Source organism: Homo sapiens, chromosome 20 (assembly GCF_000001405.40).
Source record: "Homo sapiens chromosome 20, GRCh38.p14 Primary Assembly".
Classification (NCBI taxonomy): domain Eukaryota; kingdom Metazoa; phylum Chordata; class Mammalia; order Primates; family Hominidae; genus Homo; species Homo sapiens.
In genome coordinates, this window is record NC_000020.11 from 63,861,215 (window position 1) to 63,875,292 (window position 14,078).

The following is a 14,078-nucleotide window of genomic DNA, read 5'->3' on the forward strand; positions in this document are numbered from 1 at the left end:
TGAGACCCCATCTCAATTTAATAAATAAATAAGGAAGAAAGAGGGAGACAGTAGCTGCTCAAATCATGGGTGGGAAAGCTGGGCCTGGGAGCGTTTAGCTGGTGGGGTCTTGGCGAAGGCGGGGGACGGGCAGAACCTTGGGTTCATCATCTCTGGGAACCCTTTGTGCACCCATCACCTAGCAACAGGATGCAGCCTTCCCTCCGCCCTGGAAGGCCAGGTCACAAAGGCCATCAGGGCTTGTCCGGGAGCCGGTATCCCCTAAGACTGCCCTGTGCCTCTCGCGGCGATCCCGGCCCAGCGGCTGGGCGTTAGGGCCACCGCTCATGTGCGTCATCTGCTTCGTGAAGGCGCTGGTGCGCGTGTTCAAGATCTACCTGACCGCCAGCTACACCTACCCATTCCGCGGCTGGCCCGTGGCCTTCCGCTGGGATGACGTGCGCGCCGTGGGCCGGAGCAGCAGCCACCGGGCGCTGACCTGCGCGGCAGCCGCGGCGGGCGTGTGGTTGCTGCGGGACGAGACGCTGGGCGGGGATGCGCTGGGGCGGCCTCCACGTGGGGCGCGCAGCCAGGCGCAGTGCCTCTTGCAGCAGCTCCGCGAGCTGCCCGGCCAGCTCGCTAGCTACGCGCTGGCCCACTCGCTGGGCCGCTGGCTCGTGTACCCCGGCTCCGTGTCCCTGATGACGCGCGCGCTGCTGCCGCTGCTGCAGCAGGGCCAAGAGCGCCTCGTGGAGCGCTACCACGGCCGGCGCGCCAAGCTGGTGGCCTGTGACGGCAACGAGATCGACACTATGTTCATGGACCGCCGCCAGCACCCGGGCAGCCACGTGCACGGGCCGCGCCTCGTCATCTGCTGCGAAGGCAACGCGGGCTTCTACGAGATGGGCTGTCTGTCTGCACCGCTCGAGGCCGGCTACTCCGTGCTGGGCTGGAACCACCCCGGCTTCGGCAGCAGCACTGGCGTGCCCTTCCCTCAGCACGACGCCAACGCCATGGACGTGGTGGTCGAGTACGCACTGCACCGCCTGCACTTCCCGCCCGCGCACCTGGTGGTCTACGGCTGGTCTGTTGGCGGCTTCACGGCCACCTGGGCCACCATGACCTACCCGGAGCTGGGTGCACTGGTGCTGGACGCCACCTTCGACGACCTTGTGCCGCTGGCGCTGAAGGTCATGCCCCACAGTTGGAAGGGGCTGGTGGTGCGCACCGTGCGCGAGCACTTCAACCTCAACGTGGCCGAGCAGCTGTGCTGCTACCCGGGGCCGGTGCTGCTGCTCCGACGCACGCAGGATGACGTGGTCAGCACTTCGGGCCGCCTGCGCCCCCTGTCACCTGGTGACGTGGAGGGCAACCGGGGCAATGAGCTGCTGCTGCGCCTGCTGGAGCACCGCTACCCCGTCGTGATGGCGCGAGAGGGCCGCGCCGTCGTCACCCGCTGGCTGCGCGCTGGCAGCTTGGCGCAGGAGGCCGCCTTCTATGCACGCTACCGCGTGGACGAGGACTGGTGCCTGGCGCTGCTGCGCTCCTACCGTGCACGCTGCGAAGAGGAGCTGGAGGGCGAGGAGGCCCTGGGGCCACACGGACCCGCCTTCCCATGGCTGGTGGGCCAGGGCCTGAGCTCGCGGCGGCGCCGGCGCCTCGCACTGTTCCTGGCTCGGAAGCACCTCAAGAACGTGGAGGCGACTCACTTCAGCCCTCTGGAGCCTGAGGAGTTTCAGTTGCCCTGGCGGCTGTAACCTATATGCCCCAGTGGGGGATCACGCACTTGAACTCCTGGCCTTCTTGGTTCACCTCCCCATACCGCCAACCATTGCAGGGGGCCGGCGCCGACGCGGGGCGGGGCGGGGGGGGGCGCGCGGGGTGCTCCTGATCTGCTGTCTGGGGGAGGGTAGGCAGAACACGGGGACTTGGTGCTCTCCTTCCTTCACAGGGGCGTTCTGACCGTCCTCCCATTCTTCCTAGCTCTGTCCCCTCCTTTCTCTCTTCCTCCTACAAATACTTTTGGCTGCCCCCACCCAGCTCCTAAGGGAATGAAAGGTTAACCTGACCCGGTTTATGGCAATACTGTGTGATGGGTGCCTTGATCACCACAAAAGGATGATGGGAACGGGGCTGTGGGGTCCCAGGGAGGAGCCCTTCACCTGGCCTGGGTTACAGGATGGCTCCTGGGAAGACAATGCCAGCTGTGCGCTGAAAGTCTGTGCAAGCTGCTCCCGTGAAAAGGAGGACATTGGCATGGCAGGGCTGTGGGCAGGTCTTAGTGGCTGGACATTCCCAGGAGTTAGCACTGGCTATCATTCTGTAGGGCTCCCTCCCACCTCCAAACTCCTGGCTTCTACACCAGGGCATTCACAGACAGATTGCAGACTCACATGGTGGCATGTGAGGCTACAGATACACTTGCACAGGCCAGAGGATACTACTGCGTGTCCCCTGGAGCCAGGCCTGGGCTGGACTTTGTTCCTGGCTTAGGGATGCAACACAGAATGGGACAAGGCCTCTGCTCACAATGGTCTGTAATGTCACATCTCTGTGGTCTGCCCTGAACTGCCTGAAGCAGGGACTATTGTCCCTACATGTCCCTAGTCCCCGGGCTGGCCTGGTTGGGTTGAGCAAGAATCTCTGGAAAGAATGAAAGGCAGCAAATGGAGAAAACATTACTGAGAGCACGAGAGCAGGCTAAGGCCGTGGTGGTAAGGGACTCGGGCCTGTGCAAGAGTACCAGGAAGACACCTGTGGGAGGAGGTGGCCGGGTGAAGGAAGGGGCAGTGGGAGGAGCTTCCATGCCTAGGGACCAGTACCACCCCAGGCTGGAAGCCCAGAGTGGAGTCCTAGGACATCAGATCCTAAAGGGCTTGAATACCGTTTAAGGCTTTTCTTCCGGGAGCAAGTAGGAGCCAAAGAAGGGAAGTTGCGGGACTTGTTTTCGTGGGGCCAGTTGCCTGGTGGTTACGCGCCTCTCCTCTGAAGTCAGGCATCCTGTTCCAGAGTATCCTGGTTGCGCTTCAACTTGCGGAGTGACCTGGGGCAAGTGACTTTAACCTCAGCTTCCTCATCTGTGGAGTGGGGAGGGCGCAGCGCTGGTCGCCCTGAACAGGAAGTGAGACAACCTCGGGGTGCACACGCGCAGGCCCGAGCCGCAGGGTCCACGCCCGAGGCGAGGCGGCAGCGGCGCCTGCAGGGCGAGGGGACGAATCGCGATCTTTTTCAGAGTAACCCGCGTACAATAAAAAGTCCCCATGAAAAGGACAAACTAGCCAGGCGTGAGGGGCGGTGGCTCACGCCTGTAATCCCAGCACTTTAGGAGGCCGAGGCGGGTGGATCACCTAAGGTCAGGAGTTCTAGACCAGCCTGGCCAAGGTGGCGAAACCCCCGTCTCTACTACAAATACGAAAATTAGCCGGACGTGTTGGCGCGCGCCTGTAATTCCAGCTACTCGGGAGGCTGAGGCTGGAGAATCGCTTGAACCCGGAGGGCAGAGATTGGAGTGAGCTGAGATCGCGCCATGGCACTCCAGCCTGGGCAACAAGAGTGAAACTCCGTCTCAAAAACAAACAAAAAAGGACCAACTAAAAAAAGAATATAAATACAATAAATAACAGGACTTACGGGGGCAGGCTGACCCCTAAAGTAAGGGGTCGGGCTGGAAAGGATCTCAAGGGGTCAGAGTTTGAGCCGCCGAGGCGCGCGAGCCCCAGCACTCCTAGGCAGCTGCATCCGCCCCGGAAGATCCCCTGGGGCCCTGCGCTGGCTTTCCACAGCGCCATGTTGGACGGTCCTCCCACTTCCCACCTTCCCAGTCCTCCCGCTACTCTGACCGTTCTACCTGTGATTCTCGCTGGTGGAGTCAACCTGGAATGGATTCCCGCCGAACCACGCCTCCCTTTCCTGGTTCGCCCGCAGTTTCGGCCTATCAGGTTGAGTCGGGTAAACCAGGACGGGCCAAGCGGCACTCTCATTGGATATCACTGGTGGGGGCGGGAAGAAGGCGGAGCACGTGCCCGGGCGGAAGTAGCCGTCGCATCGCGGATTACGAAACGCCGCGGAGCTGAGGCAGTTCCGCTGGCTAGTGTGTACGCGGCGAGCTTCTCCCGGCGCCGCCCGCTCGGCTCCCATAGCGCCCGCGACAGCGGTCCGGACGCCGCCCGAACATGGACTCCGCCGGCCAAGGTACCTGCCGGGCCCGGCCCCTTCGCCGCAGATGGGCCCAGGCTGCCCGTTGTTCTCCGTCTCCCGGGGTCGCGTCTGCGACTCTCTGTCCTCTCGGTCTCGGTTCACCCACCCCGCGGCCCCTCTTCAGCTCCCGGGGCCACTGACCTCGAAGCTTATGATGGTCGTGGTGTGTTTTTTGCCCGCGGCCCAGACCGCTTCCTGGGCTCTCTCCAGCCGCCCTCCTGGTCTCCCCTGGGACCGTTCCGAGGTGTGGTTCCCTGGCGCCCGCCGTTGCTCCCGTAGTTTGGGTTCTGTCGCTCCCAGCAGGTCTCGCTTATGCCGCCCACCCCGTGCCCTGCTCTTGCTTGCTCTGCCACCCCCCGGTCCCTGCGCGGGGCCCTCGGGTTCACGCTGTCTGGCCCTGGACCCAGTCCGAGGTGTTGAGGGCGGCTCCCGAGCAGAGAAGGGGTCTTCGCGTTCAGCAGAGCTCCCCTTGGGCAGCAACTCTGCTCGGAGCTCAGCCTGCTTAGGGGTTGCCTCATGGAGAGGGGGTGGAGTGAGTCAGGGGCACACCCAGCATACCAGGCCTGTTTCCAGAACAGTCTCCCCAGAGCAGTATGAGATGGCCACTGAGGGGCGTGGAGCGAGCCCAGGAGATTAAAATCTTGAGAAGATGATAAAAGTCTGCCTTGCATTTTGGGGCTCTAGAGAGGGATGCTAAATTTCTTTCTTTCTTTCTTTCTTTCTTTATTTTTTTGAGACGGAGTCTTGCTCTGACGCCAGGCTGGAGTGCAGTGGCGCGATCTCAGCTCATTGCAACCTCGACCTCCCGGGTTCAAGCGATTCTGCTGCCTCAGCCTCCTGAGTAGCTGGGACTACAGGCACGCGCCACCAGGCCCAGCTAATTTTTGTATTTTTAGTAGAGGCAGGGTTTCACCATGTTGCCCAGGATGGTCTCGATCTCTTGACCTTGTGATCCGCCCGCCTCAGCCTCCCAAAGTGCTGGGATTACAGGCGTGAGCCACTGTGCCCGGCTACATATTAAGCTTTATAATTCCTAGGTGCTGCATTATTCTGGAGGGTGTTTTTTGTTTGTTTGTTTTTGTTTTTTTGAGATGGAGTCTCACTCTGTCGCCCAGGCTGGAGCGCAGTGGCTAGATCTCGGCTCACTGCAAGCTCCGCCTCCCGGGTTCACTGCCATTCTCCTGCTTCAGCCTCCCAACTAGCTGGGACTACAGGCGCCCGCCATCATGCCCGGCTAATTTTTTGTATCTTTAGTAGAGACGGGGTTTCACTGTTAGCCATGACGGTCTTGATACCCTGACCTCGTGATCTGCTTACCTCGGCCTCCCAAAGTGCTGGGATTACAGGCGTGAGCCACCGCGCCTGGCCTTTTTTTTTTTTTTTTTTAATTTTTTTTTTGGGGACAGCGTCTCCCTCTGTCTCCCAGGCTGGAGTGCAGTGGTGCAATCATAGCTTACTGCAATCTTCAACTCCTGGGCTCAAGCGATCTTCCTGCGTCAGCCTCCCAGGTAGCTGGGACTATAAGACTACAGGCGCACCATGCCAGGTTAATTGGTCTTTCTACTTTTTTTTTTTTTTTTGAGACGGATTTTCGCTCTTGTTGCCCACGCTGCAGTACAATGGCGCGATCATGGCTTCCCGCAACCTCTGCCTTCTGGGTTCAAGCGATTCTCCTGCCTCAGCCTCCCGTGTAGCTGGCATTACAGGCGTGCGCCACCATGCCCGGCTAATTTTGTATTTTTAGTAGAGATGGAGGTTTCTCCATGTTGGTCAAGCTGGTCTCGAACTTCTGACCTCAGGTGATCTGCCCGCCTTGGCCTCCAAAAGTGCTGGGATTACAGGTGTGAGCCATTGTGCCCAGCCTCATTTGTCTTTTTTTAAATAGAACAGAAAGGCTGGGCTCGGTGGCTTACGCCTGTAATTCTAACACATTGGGAGGCCGAGGCCAGTGGATCACTTGAGGTCAGGAGTTTGAGACCAGCCTAACCAACGTGCCAAAACCCCGTCTCTACTAAAAATAAAAAAATTAACCGGGCATGGTGGTGTGCTCCTGTAGTCCCAGCTACTTGGGAGGCTGAGGCAGGAGAATCGATTGAACCCAGGAGGTGGAGGTTGCAGTGAGCGGAGATCGTGCCACTGCACTCCAGCCTGGGTGACAGAGTAAGACTCGTCTAAAAAAAAAAAAAAGAGAATCAGTGGATAAAAAAGTGGATACGCTTCGTTTAGTAAGCGTTTGTGGAGCGCCAAGGAAGTGCACACGGCTCCAGTCCTATGGGACATTTGAAGGGAGTGAGATGCAGCCAGCTTTTAAGAAGAGTATCTTTGTTAAGTGCATTTAATCTGGTGTCTTTGTGTTGTCTTTTAAAAGGCATAGTTTTTTTTTCTTTTTCTTTTCTTTTGTTTTTTTTTTTTGAGACAGTCTCAAAAAAAAGAGACGGGGTTTCACCATATTGGCCAGGCTGGTCTTGAACTCCTGACCTCAGGTGATCCGCCCGCCTCAGCCTCCCAAAGTGCTGGGATTACCGGCATGAGCCACCCCGCCCGACCAGTTTTTCTTTTTTTTTTTAAAGAATTTTTTTTTGGCCGCGCGTGGTGGCTCAACGCCTGTAATCTCCCGGGTTCAAGTGATTCTCCTGCCTCAGCCTCCCAAGTAGCTGGGAACTACAGGCGCGTGCCACCACGCTAACTAATTTTGTATTTTTAGTAGAGACGGGGTTTCACCATTTTGGTCAAGCTGGTCTCGAACTCCTGACCTCATGTGATCCACCTGCCTCGGCCTCCAAAAGTGCTGGGATTATAGGCATGAGCCACTGCGCCTGGCAGTAAGCCTGTTTCTTTTCAGAATGTTTTGGTCAACAGGGAAAGTGTTACAATAGTCATGTGCTTGGATTTGGAGAGAATCGAAATAGACTGTTTTTCTTTATGTGAAATCTTGTAGACTTTTAGGGTAGTCAGGAAGATGCATTTGACATGAAGAAAAAACAGTGGCTGCAGGAATTTGAATGTGATCTGGGTGTAGTTGAGGTGTGTGGTGGCAGCACACCGCTCTGCACCTCTCTGCCTGCTGGCGGCCTTCTGGCAGTGGGATGAGAATCGGGAGGTAAGTAAAGGGAATTTTGTTTTGCTGCCTCCCTGAAGGAGCTGAATGAGCAGCATGTGCTCCTAGTACGTAATTTTAGCATGTGCTCTGTCAGATGTGTTGAGAGGAAAGTGATGCTTATTGTGTATATTAACCATATTAGGTTCCTTTTTTTAAAAAAAGTGGAAATTTGTCAGGGTATGGTGGCTCACACCTGTAATCCCAACACTTTGGGAGGCCAAGGCGGGCGGATCACCCGAGGTCGGGAATTGGAGACCAGCCTGGCCGACATGACGAAACCCCGTCTCTACTGAAAATACAAAAATAGCCAGCGTGGTGGCGTGCGCCTGTAATCCCAGCTACTCGAAGGCTGAGACAGGAGAATCACTTGAACCCGGGAGACGGAGGTTGCAGTGAGCTGAGATCGCACCATTGCACTCCAGCTTGGGAGGCAGAGTGAGACTCCATCAAAAAAAAAAGGTGGAAGGTCTGTTAGATTGAGCTGCTTTCTCTGTAGCAAGGGTTTCCTGCCTCTGACGATAGTATTCTCACTGGGAAGCCAGAATTCGGGTTTGCCTGCCTTGGGCCGGCATTTGTCGTGCCCTGAAGCAGCACAAGTGGCATTGGCTTTTCAGCTCAGGTGGTCTGAGGTGTGGCTGCCCTCGTCTACTGCCCATGCTGTCCTCACAGACCTTTCAGAGAAGAGGTGTTAGTCTCCAGGGTCTCACCCACTCCCACCTGTGCTTTTGTCCTGCTAGAGACCTCTACCGTATTTACTTGGAACTAACTTATTTGACACTTTGTGGCCTCATTTTGTCTCTGGCAGATATCAACCTGAATTCTCCTAACAAAGGTCTGCTGTCTGACTCCATGACGGATGTTCCTGTCGACACAGGTGTGGCTGCCCGGACTCCTGCTGTTGAGGGTCTGACAGAGGCTGAGGAGGAGGAGCTCAGGGCTGAGCTTACCAAGGTGCTGTGGCTTGGCTGTCTGTCCTGGGGTGAATTGGAGTTAAGGCCCTCTTGGATTAGTGAGAGGCCAGGGTACTGGCCACGCTCGGGAGGAATTGCCCTGGGTGGTCACCTACCCTGCTCTGTGTTCCGACTGATAACGGGGTTCTCTTTGTATGTGCCCAGCTCCATGCACTGGACTCAGAGCCACCTGGCAGTGGAGACAGGGCATGACTCCCTTCCCATACCTCTGTGCCTGGCCCTTCCTAAGTGCTCCCTGAGGAGTGTTCACACATGAACCGCCTCTGAGCAGCCATCTGCTGGGAGTGTCTCTGTTGGAATTAACACTTGATAATCATTTTTAAGACCCCATGAATCTTTCTTGTCCTGGATCTTAAGTTTTCTTTTAAACATATTTATTTTGGCTGGATGCAGTGGCTCATGCCTGTAATTCCAGCGCCTTAGGAGGACAGGGTGGTAAGGTGGGAAGATCACTTGAGCCCAGGAGTTTGAGAGCAGCCTGGGCAACACAGTGAGACCTTGTCTCTACCCCCAAAAATTAGCCAGGTGTGGTGGCATGTGCCTGTAGTCCCAGCTACTCAGGAGGCTGAGGTGAGAGGATTGCTTGAGGCCAGGAGGTCAAGGCTTCAGTGAGCTGTGATTGCATCCTGCACAGCAGCCTGGGTGACAGGGCGAGACCCTGTCTCAAAAACAAAACAAAAACTTCTTTTCTAAAAAGTATTTATGTGATCTTCTTTAAGTGAGAGTCCCTTAAGAGTAATGTAGGAATTAAGAACAAAAGCCTCCAACCATAATTTTTAGTCAAACCAACTGCCAAGAGTTTTCTTTTCACCCTGTGATGTGGTTTAATTCCAGAATCTGGGTCCAGGCCTAGGTCTGAGTAAGGTTGGTTGTGCCGCTGAGTCTGAGGACCAGGTTTCAGATCCTGAGGACATCACACAGCTATTTCTAGCCTAGAAGATTAAAGGAGAGTAGCAGGAAGTCCAAGGACACTTTGCTTTCCATTTAACTTCAGAATATGTGAGTTTAGAAACTAAATCCACAAGGTTTTTTTCAGAGTTGAATTACAATAAGGTGAAGTTTTTTTTTTTTTTTTTTTTTTTTTGAGTCGGAGTCTCTGCCGCCCAGGCTGGAGTGCAGTGGCGCAATCTCGGCTCACTGCAACCTCCAACACCCGGGTTCACGCCATTCTCCTGCCTCAGCCTCCTGAGTAGCTGGGACTACAGGCGCCCACCACCACGCCCGGCTAATTTTTTTGTGTTTTTAGTCGAGATGGGGTTTGTTTTTTTTTTTTGGAGACAGAGTCTCGCCCTGTCGCCCAGGCTGGAGTGCAATGGTGTGATCTCGGCTCGCTGCAATCTCCGCCTCCCAGGTTCAAGCGATTCTCCTGCCTCAGCCTCCCGAATATCTGGGATTACAGGCGCGTGCCTCCCTGCCCATCTAATTTTCGTATTTTTAGTAGAGACAGAGTTTCACCATGTTGGCCAGGCTGATCTCAAACTCCTGATCTTGTGATCCACCCACCTTGGCCTCCCAGAGTGCTGGGATTACAGGTGTGAGCCACTGTGCCCGGCCCCTACAAGGTGAAGTTCTGTATTGCTTTTTTTTGTTGTTTTTCTTGAGACAGAGTCTTGCTCTGTCGCCCAGGCTAGAGTGCAGTGGCGTGATCTCAGCTCACTGGAGCCTCTGCCTCCCTGGTTCAAGTGATTTTCATGCCTCAGCCTCCCAAGTAGGTGGGATTACAGACGCCTGCCACCACACCTGGCTAATTTTTGTATTTTTAGTAGAGACAGAGTTTCACCATGTTGGCCAGGCTGGTCCCGAACTCCGAGTCTCAAGAGCTCCACCTGGCTCAGCCTCCCGAAGTGCTAGGATTACAAATGCGAGCCGCTGTACCCAGCCAAGAAAGAGAATTTTTTTTTTTTTAAGGACGGAGTCTCACTCTGTCGCCCAGGCTGGAGTGCAGTGGCGTGATCTGGGCTCACTGCAGCCTCCACCTCCTGAGTTGAAGTGATTCTCTTGCCTCAGCCTCCCGAGTAGCTGGGATTACAGGCGCACAGCACCATGCCTGGCTAATTTTTGTATTTTTAGTAGAGACGGAGTTTCACCACGTTGGCCAGGTTGGTCTCGAACTCCAGACCTCAGGTAATCTGCCTGCCTCAGCCTCCCATAGTGCTGGGATTACACGCAAGAAAGAGTTTTTTTTTTTTTTTGAGACTTTTTGCTCTTGTTGCCCAGGCTGGAGTGGAATGGTGCGATCTTGGCTCACTGCAGCCTCTGCCTCCCAGGTTCAAGTGATTCTCCTGTCTCAGCCTCCCGAGTACCTGGGGTTACAGGTGCATGCCACCACGCCTGGCTAATTTTTGTATTTTTGGTAGAGACGGCCTTTCATCATATTGGTCAGGCTGGTCTCGGACTCCTGACCTCAGGTGATCTGCCCGCCTCGGCCTCCCAAAGTGCTGGGATTACAGGCATGAGCTATCGTACCCGGCCAAGAAAGAGAATTTTTAAAGAGAAGCTAGTCATATATGAGCTGAAGATACTGAGAACTCATTCTAAAGTGGTAAAGCTTTGAATGATGCCCCTTTCAGAGGTCATGTTCTTTTTTTTTTTTTTTTTTTTTAAAGACCTGAGAAAGTTCAAGTCTTCATGATCAGGAATCTTTCTGTTGCTCAGTTCTAACTACGTTAAGCACAAAAGATAATTTACCTTTTGGTTCGTGTAACTGACTCTTGCCAAGGTTTGGAACTGACCTCAGGAACACAAGTGTTTTCTTAAGGGTGTTTTTTTCTGTCACCTGTGTCACTGTCCATCTGCCTCCTCCTCTCTGCATATGGAATTCTATGAGTGCAGACGGTGCCCGGCTGCCAACAGTTCCAGCTTCTATTGTCCAAGCCCAGACTGAGAGCCCTGAGGGAAAAGGATCCTCACTGTTTTTTGTTTGTTTGTTTGTTTTTGAAACAGTCTCGGTCTGTCACCTAGGCTGGAGTGCAGTGGCATGATCTCGGCTCACTGCAACCTCTGTCTCCTGGGTTCAAACAGTTTTCCTGCCTCAGCCTCCCGAGTAGCTGGGGTTACAGGCGTGCACCACCATACCTGGCTAATTTTTGTATTTTTAGTAGAGACGGGGTTTTGTCATGTTGGCCAGGCTGGTCTCAAACTCCTGACCTCAGATAATCTGCCTGCCTTGGCCTCACAAAGTGCTGGGATTACAGGCGTGAGCCACTGTGCCCGGCCAGGGTCTTCACCATTTTTTTGTTGTTGTTGTTTTGTTTTGTTTGAGATGGAGTCTCGCTCTGTCACCCAGGCTGGAGTGCAGTGGCACAATCTTGGCTCACCCGCAAGCTCTGCCTCCTGGATTCACACCATTCTCCTGCCTCAGCCTCCCGAGTAGCTGGGACTACAGGTGCCCGCCACCGTGCCTGGCTAATTTTTTGTATTTTTTAGTAGAGACAGGGTTTCGCTGTGTTAACTGTGTTAGCCAGGATGGTCTCGATCTCCTGACCTCGTGATCCGCCCGCCTTGGCCTCCCAGAGTGCTGGGATTACAGGCATGCGCCACTGCGCCCGGCCGGTCTTCACCTTTTTAATACCATGCCCAGTCCTAGTAAAGAGCTCGGACAAACCTGGCATGGTCATCCTGGGCCATTCCTCATGACCACAAATGGACATGGTGATTGGTAGCTCTCCCAGAACCATTTAGTTGTGGGGCATGGGATAGTTCCCTGGAGTCAAGTTCCTAGTACCAGATAAAAACAAATGTCTGCTGGCTGGGCGCGGTGGCTCACGCCTGTAATCCCAGCACTTTGGGAGGCTGAGGTGGGAGGATCACCTGAGGTTGGGAGTTTGAGACGAGCCTGACCAACATGGTGAAACCCCATCTCTACTAAAAATACAAAATTAGCCGGGCAGGGTGGCACACGCCTGTAATCCCAGCTACTTGGGAGGCTGAGGCAGGAGAATCACTTGAATCTGAAAGGCAGAGGTTGCGGTGAGCCGAGGTCGTGCCATTGCACTCCAGCCTGGGCGACGAGCGAAACTCCATCTCAAAAAAAAAAAAAAACCAAAACCCAAAAATCAGATGTCTGCTGTAGATGCTGTTATTCCTAGGACGAGTTAATGCTTTGGTAAGCGGAAAGTTCTTGTGTAACTCATGGCACTGTGCATGAGGATGTTAGTCACTTCCTGCAGTAGTGATGGCTCATCATGTCAACTGCATGCTTTGCAGGTGGAAGAGGAAATTGTCACTCTGCGCCAGGTCCTGGCAGCCAAGGAGAGGCACTGTGGAGAGCTCAAGAGGAGGCTGGGCCTCTCCACCCTGGGGGAGCTGAAACAGAACCTGTCCAGGAGCTGGCATGACGTGCAGGTCTCTAGCGCGTAGGTACCTGCCCCAGGCGCACCCCTGGGGGCTGAAGAGAACGGGCACCACACGTGCCCCGGCATGTGGGGGGGCGTCGTCATGCCCAGGGACGAGTTGCAGCCGTGGAGTTGAGTGGCCTGTTTGGAAGGATCCAGAGAGAGGCTCTGAGCCCTTGGCCCAGCGACTGTGCCTTGTTTGTTCAAAAAGCTTGGTGTCTACATGTGTTTTATTTATTTTTAAGTTTTTGTGTACTTTATTATTATTTTTTTTGAGACAGAGTCTCACTCTGTCGCCCAGGCTGGAGTGTAGTGGCGTGATCTTAGCTCGCTGCAACCTCTGCCCCCCGGGTTCAAGCGATTCTCCTGCCTCAGCCTCCCAAGTAGCTGGGATTACAGGCGCCTCCCACCGCGCCCGGCTGATTTTTTTTTTTGTGTGTGTGTGTGTGTGTGTGTGTGTGTTTTTAGTAGAGATGGGGTTTCACCATGTTGGCCAGGCTGGTCTTGAACTCCTGACCTTGTGATCCACCCACCTCAGCCTCCCAAAGTGCTGGCCACCACGCTGGCCTTTTTTTTTTTTTTATTATTATTCTTTTTTGAGATGGTTTCGCTCTGTCACCCAGGCTGGAGTGCAGTGGCGCAATCATGATTCACTGCAACCTCAACCTCCTGGGTTCAAGCAATCCTCCCAACTCAACCCCCCTCGTAGCTGGGATGACAGGCGTGCGCCACCATGCCTGGCTAATTTTTTCACGTTTTATAGAGACAGGGTCTTGCTTTGCTACCTAGGCTGGTCTCAAATTTCTGGGCTCAAGCAATCCTCTTGTTTTGGCCTCCTAAAATGCTTGGGATTACACGTGTGAGCCACCACATCCGGCTTATATACGTGTTCTAAAAAGGCAGACACACTGGCTAGTTGTCCTGGTGGAAAATGATAGGAAGACTGTTTCAGGGTCCAGACTTGAGAGAGCACTGATCAGGTCCTTGGCAAGAGCGGTTTTTCTGTGGTCCTTGTTGTGGGTGTGGCATGGTCACAGCCTCTGACCCAGATATGGCCATATGGGCCGGGCATGGTGGCTCATGCCTACAATCCCAGCACTTTGGGAGGCTGAGGCGGGTGTATCACTTGAGGTTAGGAGTTCAAGACTAGCCTGACCAACATGGAGAAACCCTGTCTCTACTAAAAAATAAAAAAATTTAGCTGGGCGTGGTGGTGCGCACCTGTGATCTCGGCTACTAGGGAGGCTGAGGCAGGAGAATCTCTTTAACCCGGGAGGCGGAGGTTGCAGTGAGCCAAAATTATGCCACTGCCCTCCAGCCTGGGTGACAGAGCAAGACTCTGTCTCAAAAAAAAAAAATATATATATATATATATTTATATATAGGACCATATGGTCCCACAACCCTAGGGACTCTGACCCTCCCCGATGACGACGTGGTCCTACATGACGACGTGGTCCTATAACCCTGGGACACCTGTCCCAGATGTCGCTCAGC

General features: G+C 54.6%; 2 protein-coding genes and 1 long non-coding RNA gene across 16 annotated transcripts in view, besides 5 other annotated features; 2 read left to right on the top strand and 1 right to left on the bottom strand.

The window, feature by feature from the left end:
* Positions 1-3,859, bottom strand: ABHD16B-AS1 (ABHD16B antisense RNA 1). 4 transcript variants are annotated; one of them, NR_165198.1, is made up of 2 exons: positions 3,827-3,859; positions 1-3,175 (listed from the first exon to the last, which is right to left on the bottom strand). It is a non-coding gene; the product is annotated as an ABHD16B antisense RNA 1 (long non-coding RNA). The 4 variants fall into 4 exon arrangements; NR_165314.1 differs by having other exon boundaries at positions 1-3,056; positions 3,610-3,859; NR_165313.1 differs by having other exon boundaries at positions 3,610-3,859.
* Positions 284-1,774, top strand: ABHD16B (abhydrolase domain containing 16B). Its single transcript, NM_080622.4, has one exon. The coding sequence runs from the start codon at positions 327-329 to the stop codon at positions 1,734-1,736; it is 1,410 nt and encodes a 469-aa protein (NP_542189.1). The 5' UTR covers positions 284-326; the 3' UTR covers positions 1,737-1,774.
* Positions 2,784-3,013: an enhancer, noted in NCBI's record as "active region_18254". NCBI's record gives its function as "activates an Ori minimal core promoter by ATAC-STARR-seq in GM12878 lymphoblastoid cells {active_cell/tissue: GM12878}" and the evidence as "EXISTENCE:reporter gene assay evidence [ECO:0000049][PMID:35858748]".
* Positions 3,107-4,306: an enhancer, noted in NCBI's record as "BRD4-independent group 4 enhancer chr20:62495674-62496873 (GRCh37/hg19 assembly coordinates)". NCBI's record gives its function as "activates an origin of replication core promoter dependent on BRD2, P300/CBP, MED14 and CDK7 cofactors, and independent of BRD4, by STARR-seq in HCT116 cells {active_cell/tissue: HCT116}" and the evidence as "EXISTENCE:reporter gene assay evidence [ECO:0000049][PMID:35650434]".
* Positions 3,346-4,066: an enhancer, noted in NCBI's record as "NANOG-H3K27ac-H3K4me1 hESC enhancer chr20:62495913-62496633 (GRCh37/hg19 assembly coordinates)". NCBI's record gives its function as "activates a minimal SCP1, AML or CMV promoter by ChIP-STARR-seq in primed H9 embryonic stem cells {active_cell/tissue: H9 hESC(primed)}" and the evidence as "EXISTENCE:reporter gene assay evidence [ECO:0000049][PMID:30033119]".
* Positions 3,474-3,523: a silencer, noted in NCBI's record as "silent region_13190". NCBI's record gives its function as "represses an Ori minimal core promoter by ATAC-STARR-seq in GM12878 lymphoblastoid cells {active_cell/tissue: GM12878}" and the evidence as "EXISTENCE:reporter gene assay evidence [ECO:0000049][PMID:35858748]".
* The window catches only part of TPD52L2 (TPD52 like 2), a 26,269-nt gene continuing 16,246 nt past the window's right edge, over positions 4,056-14,078 (top strand). For 9 of the 11 annotated variants that reach the window (NR_045090.2, NM_199360.3, NM_199362.3 and 6 more), the window contains exons 1-3: positions 4,056-4,170; positions 8,082-8,227; positions 12,454-12,602. Coding sequence is in view for 10 of the 11 variants with exons in the window: in NM_199360.3 (NP_955392.1) it covers positions 4,152-4,170; positions 8,082-8,227; positions 12,454-12,602 (314 nt within the window). In the remaining variant the exon portion in view is untranslated. The remainder of the gene's footprint in view (positions 4,171-8,081; positions 8,228-12,453; positions 12,603-14,078) is intronic. The other 2 variants (NM_001243891.2, NM_001243892.2) reach the window with 2 other exon arrangements.
* Positions 4,788-5,507: an enhancer, noted in NCBI's record as "H3K27ac-H3K4me1 hESC enhancer chr20:62497355-62498074 (GRCh37/hg19 assembly coordinates)". NCBI's record gives its function as "activates a minimal SCP1, AML or CMV promoter by ChIP-STARR-seq in primed H9 embryonic stem cells {active_cell/tissue: H9 hESC(primed)}" and the evidence as "EXISTENCE:reporter gene assay evidence [ECO:0000049][PMID:30033119]".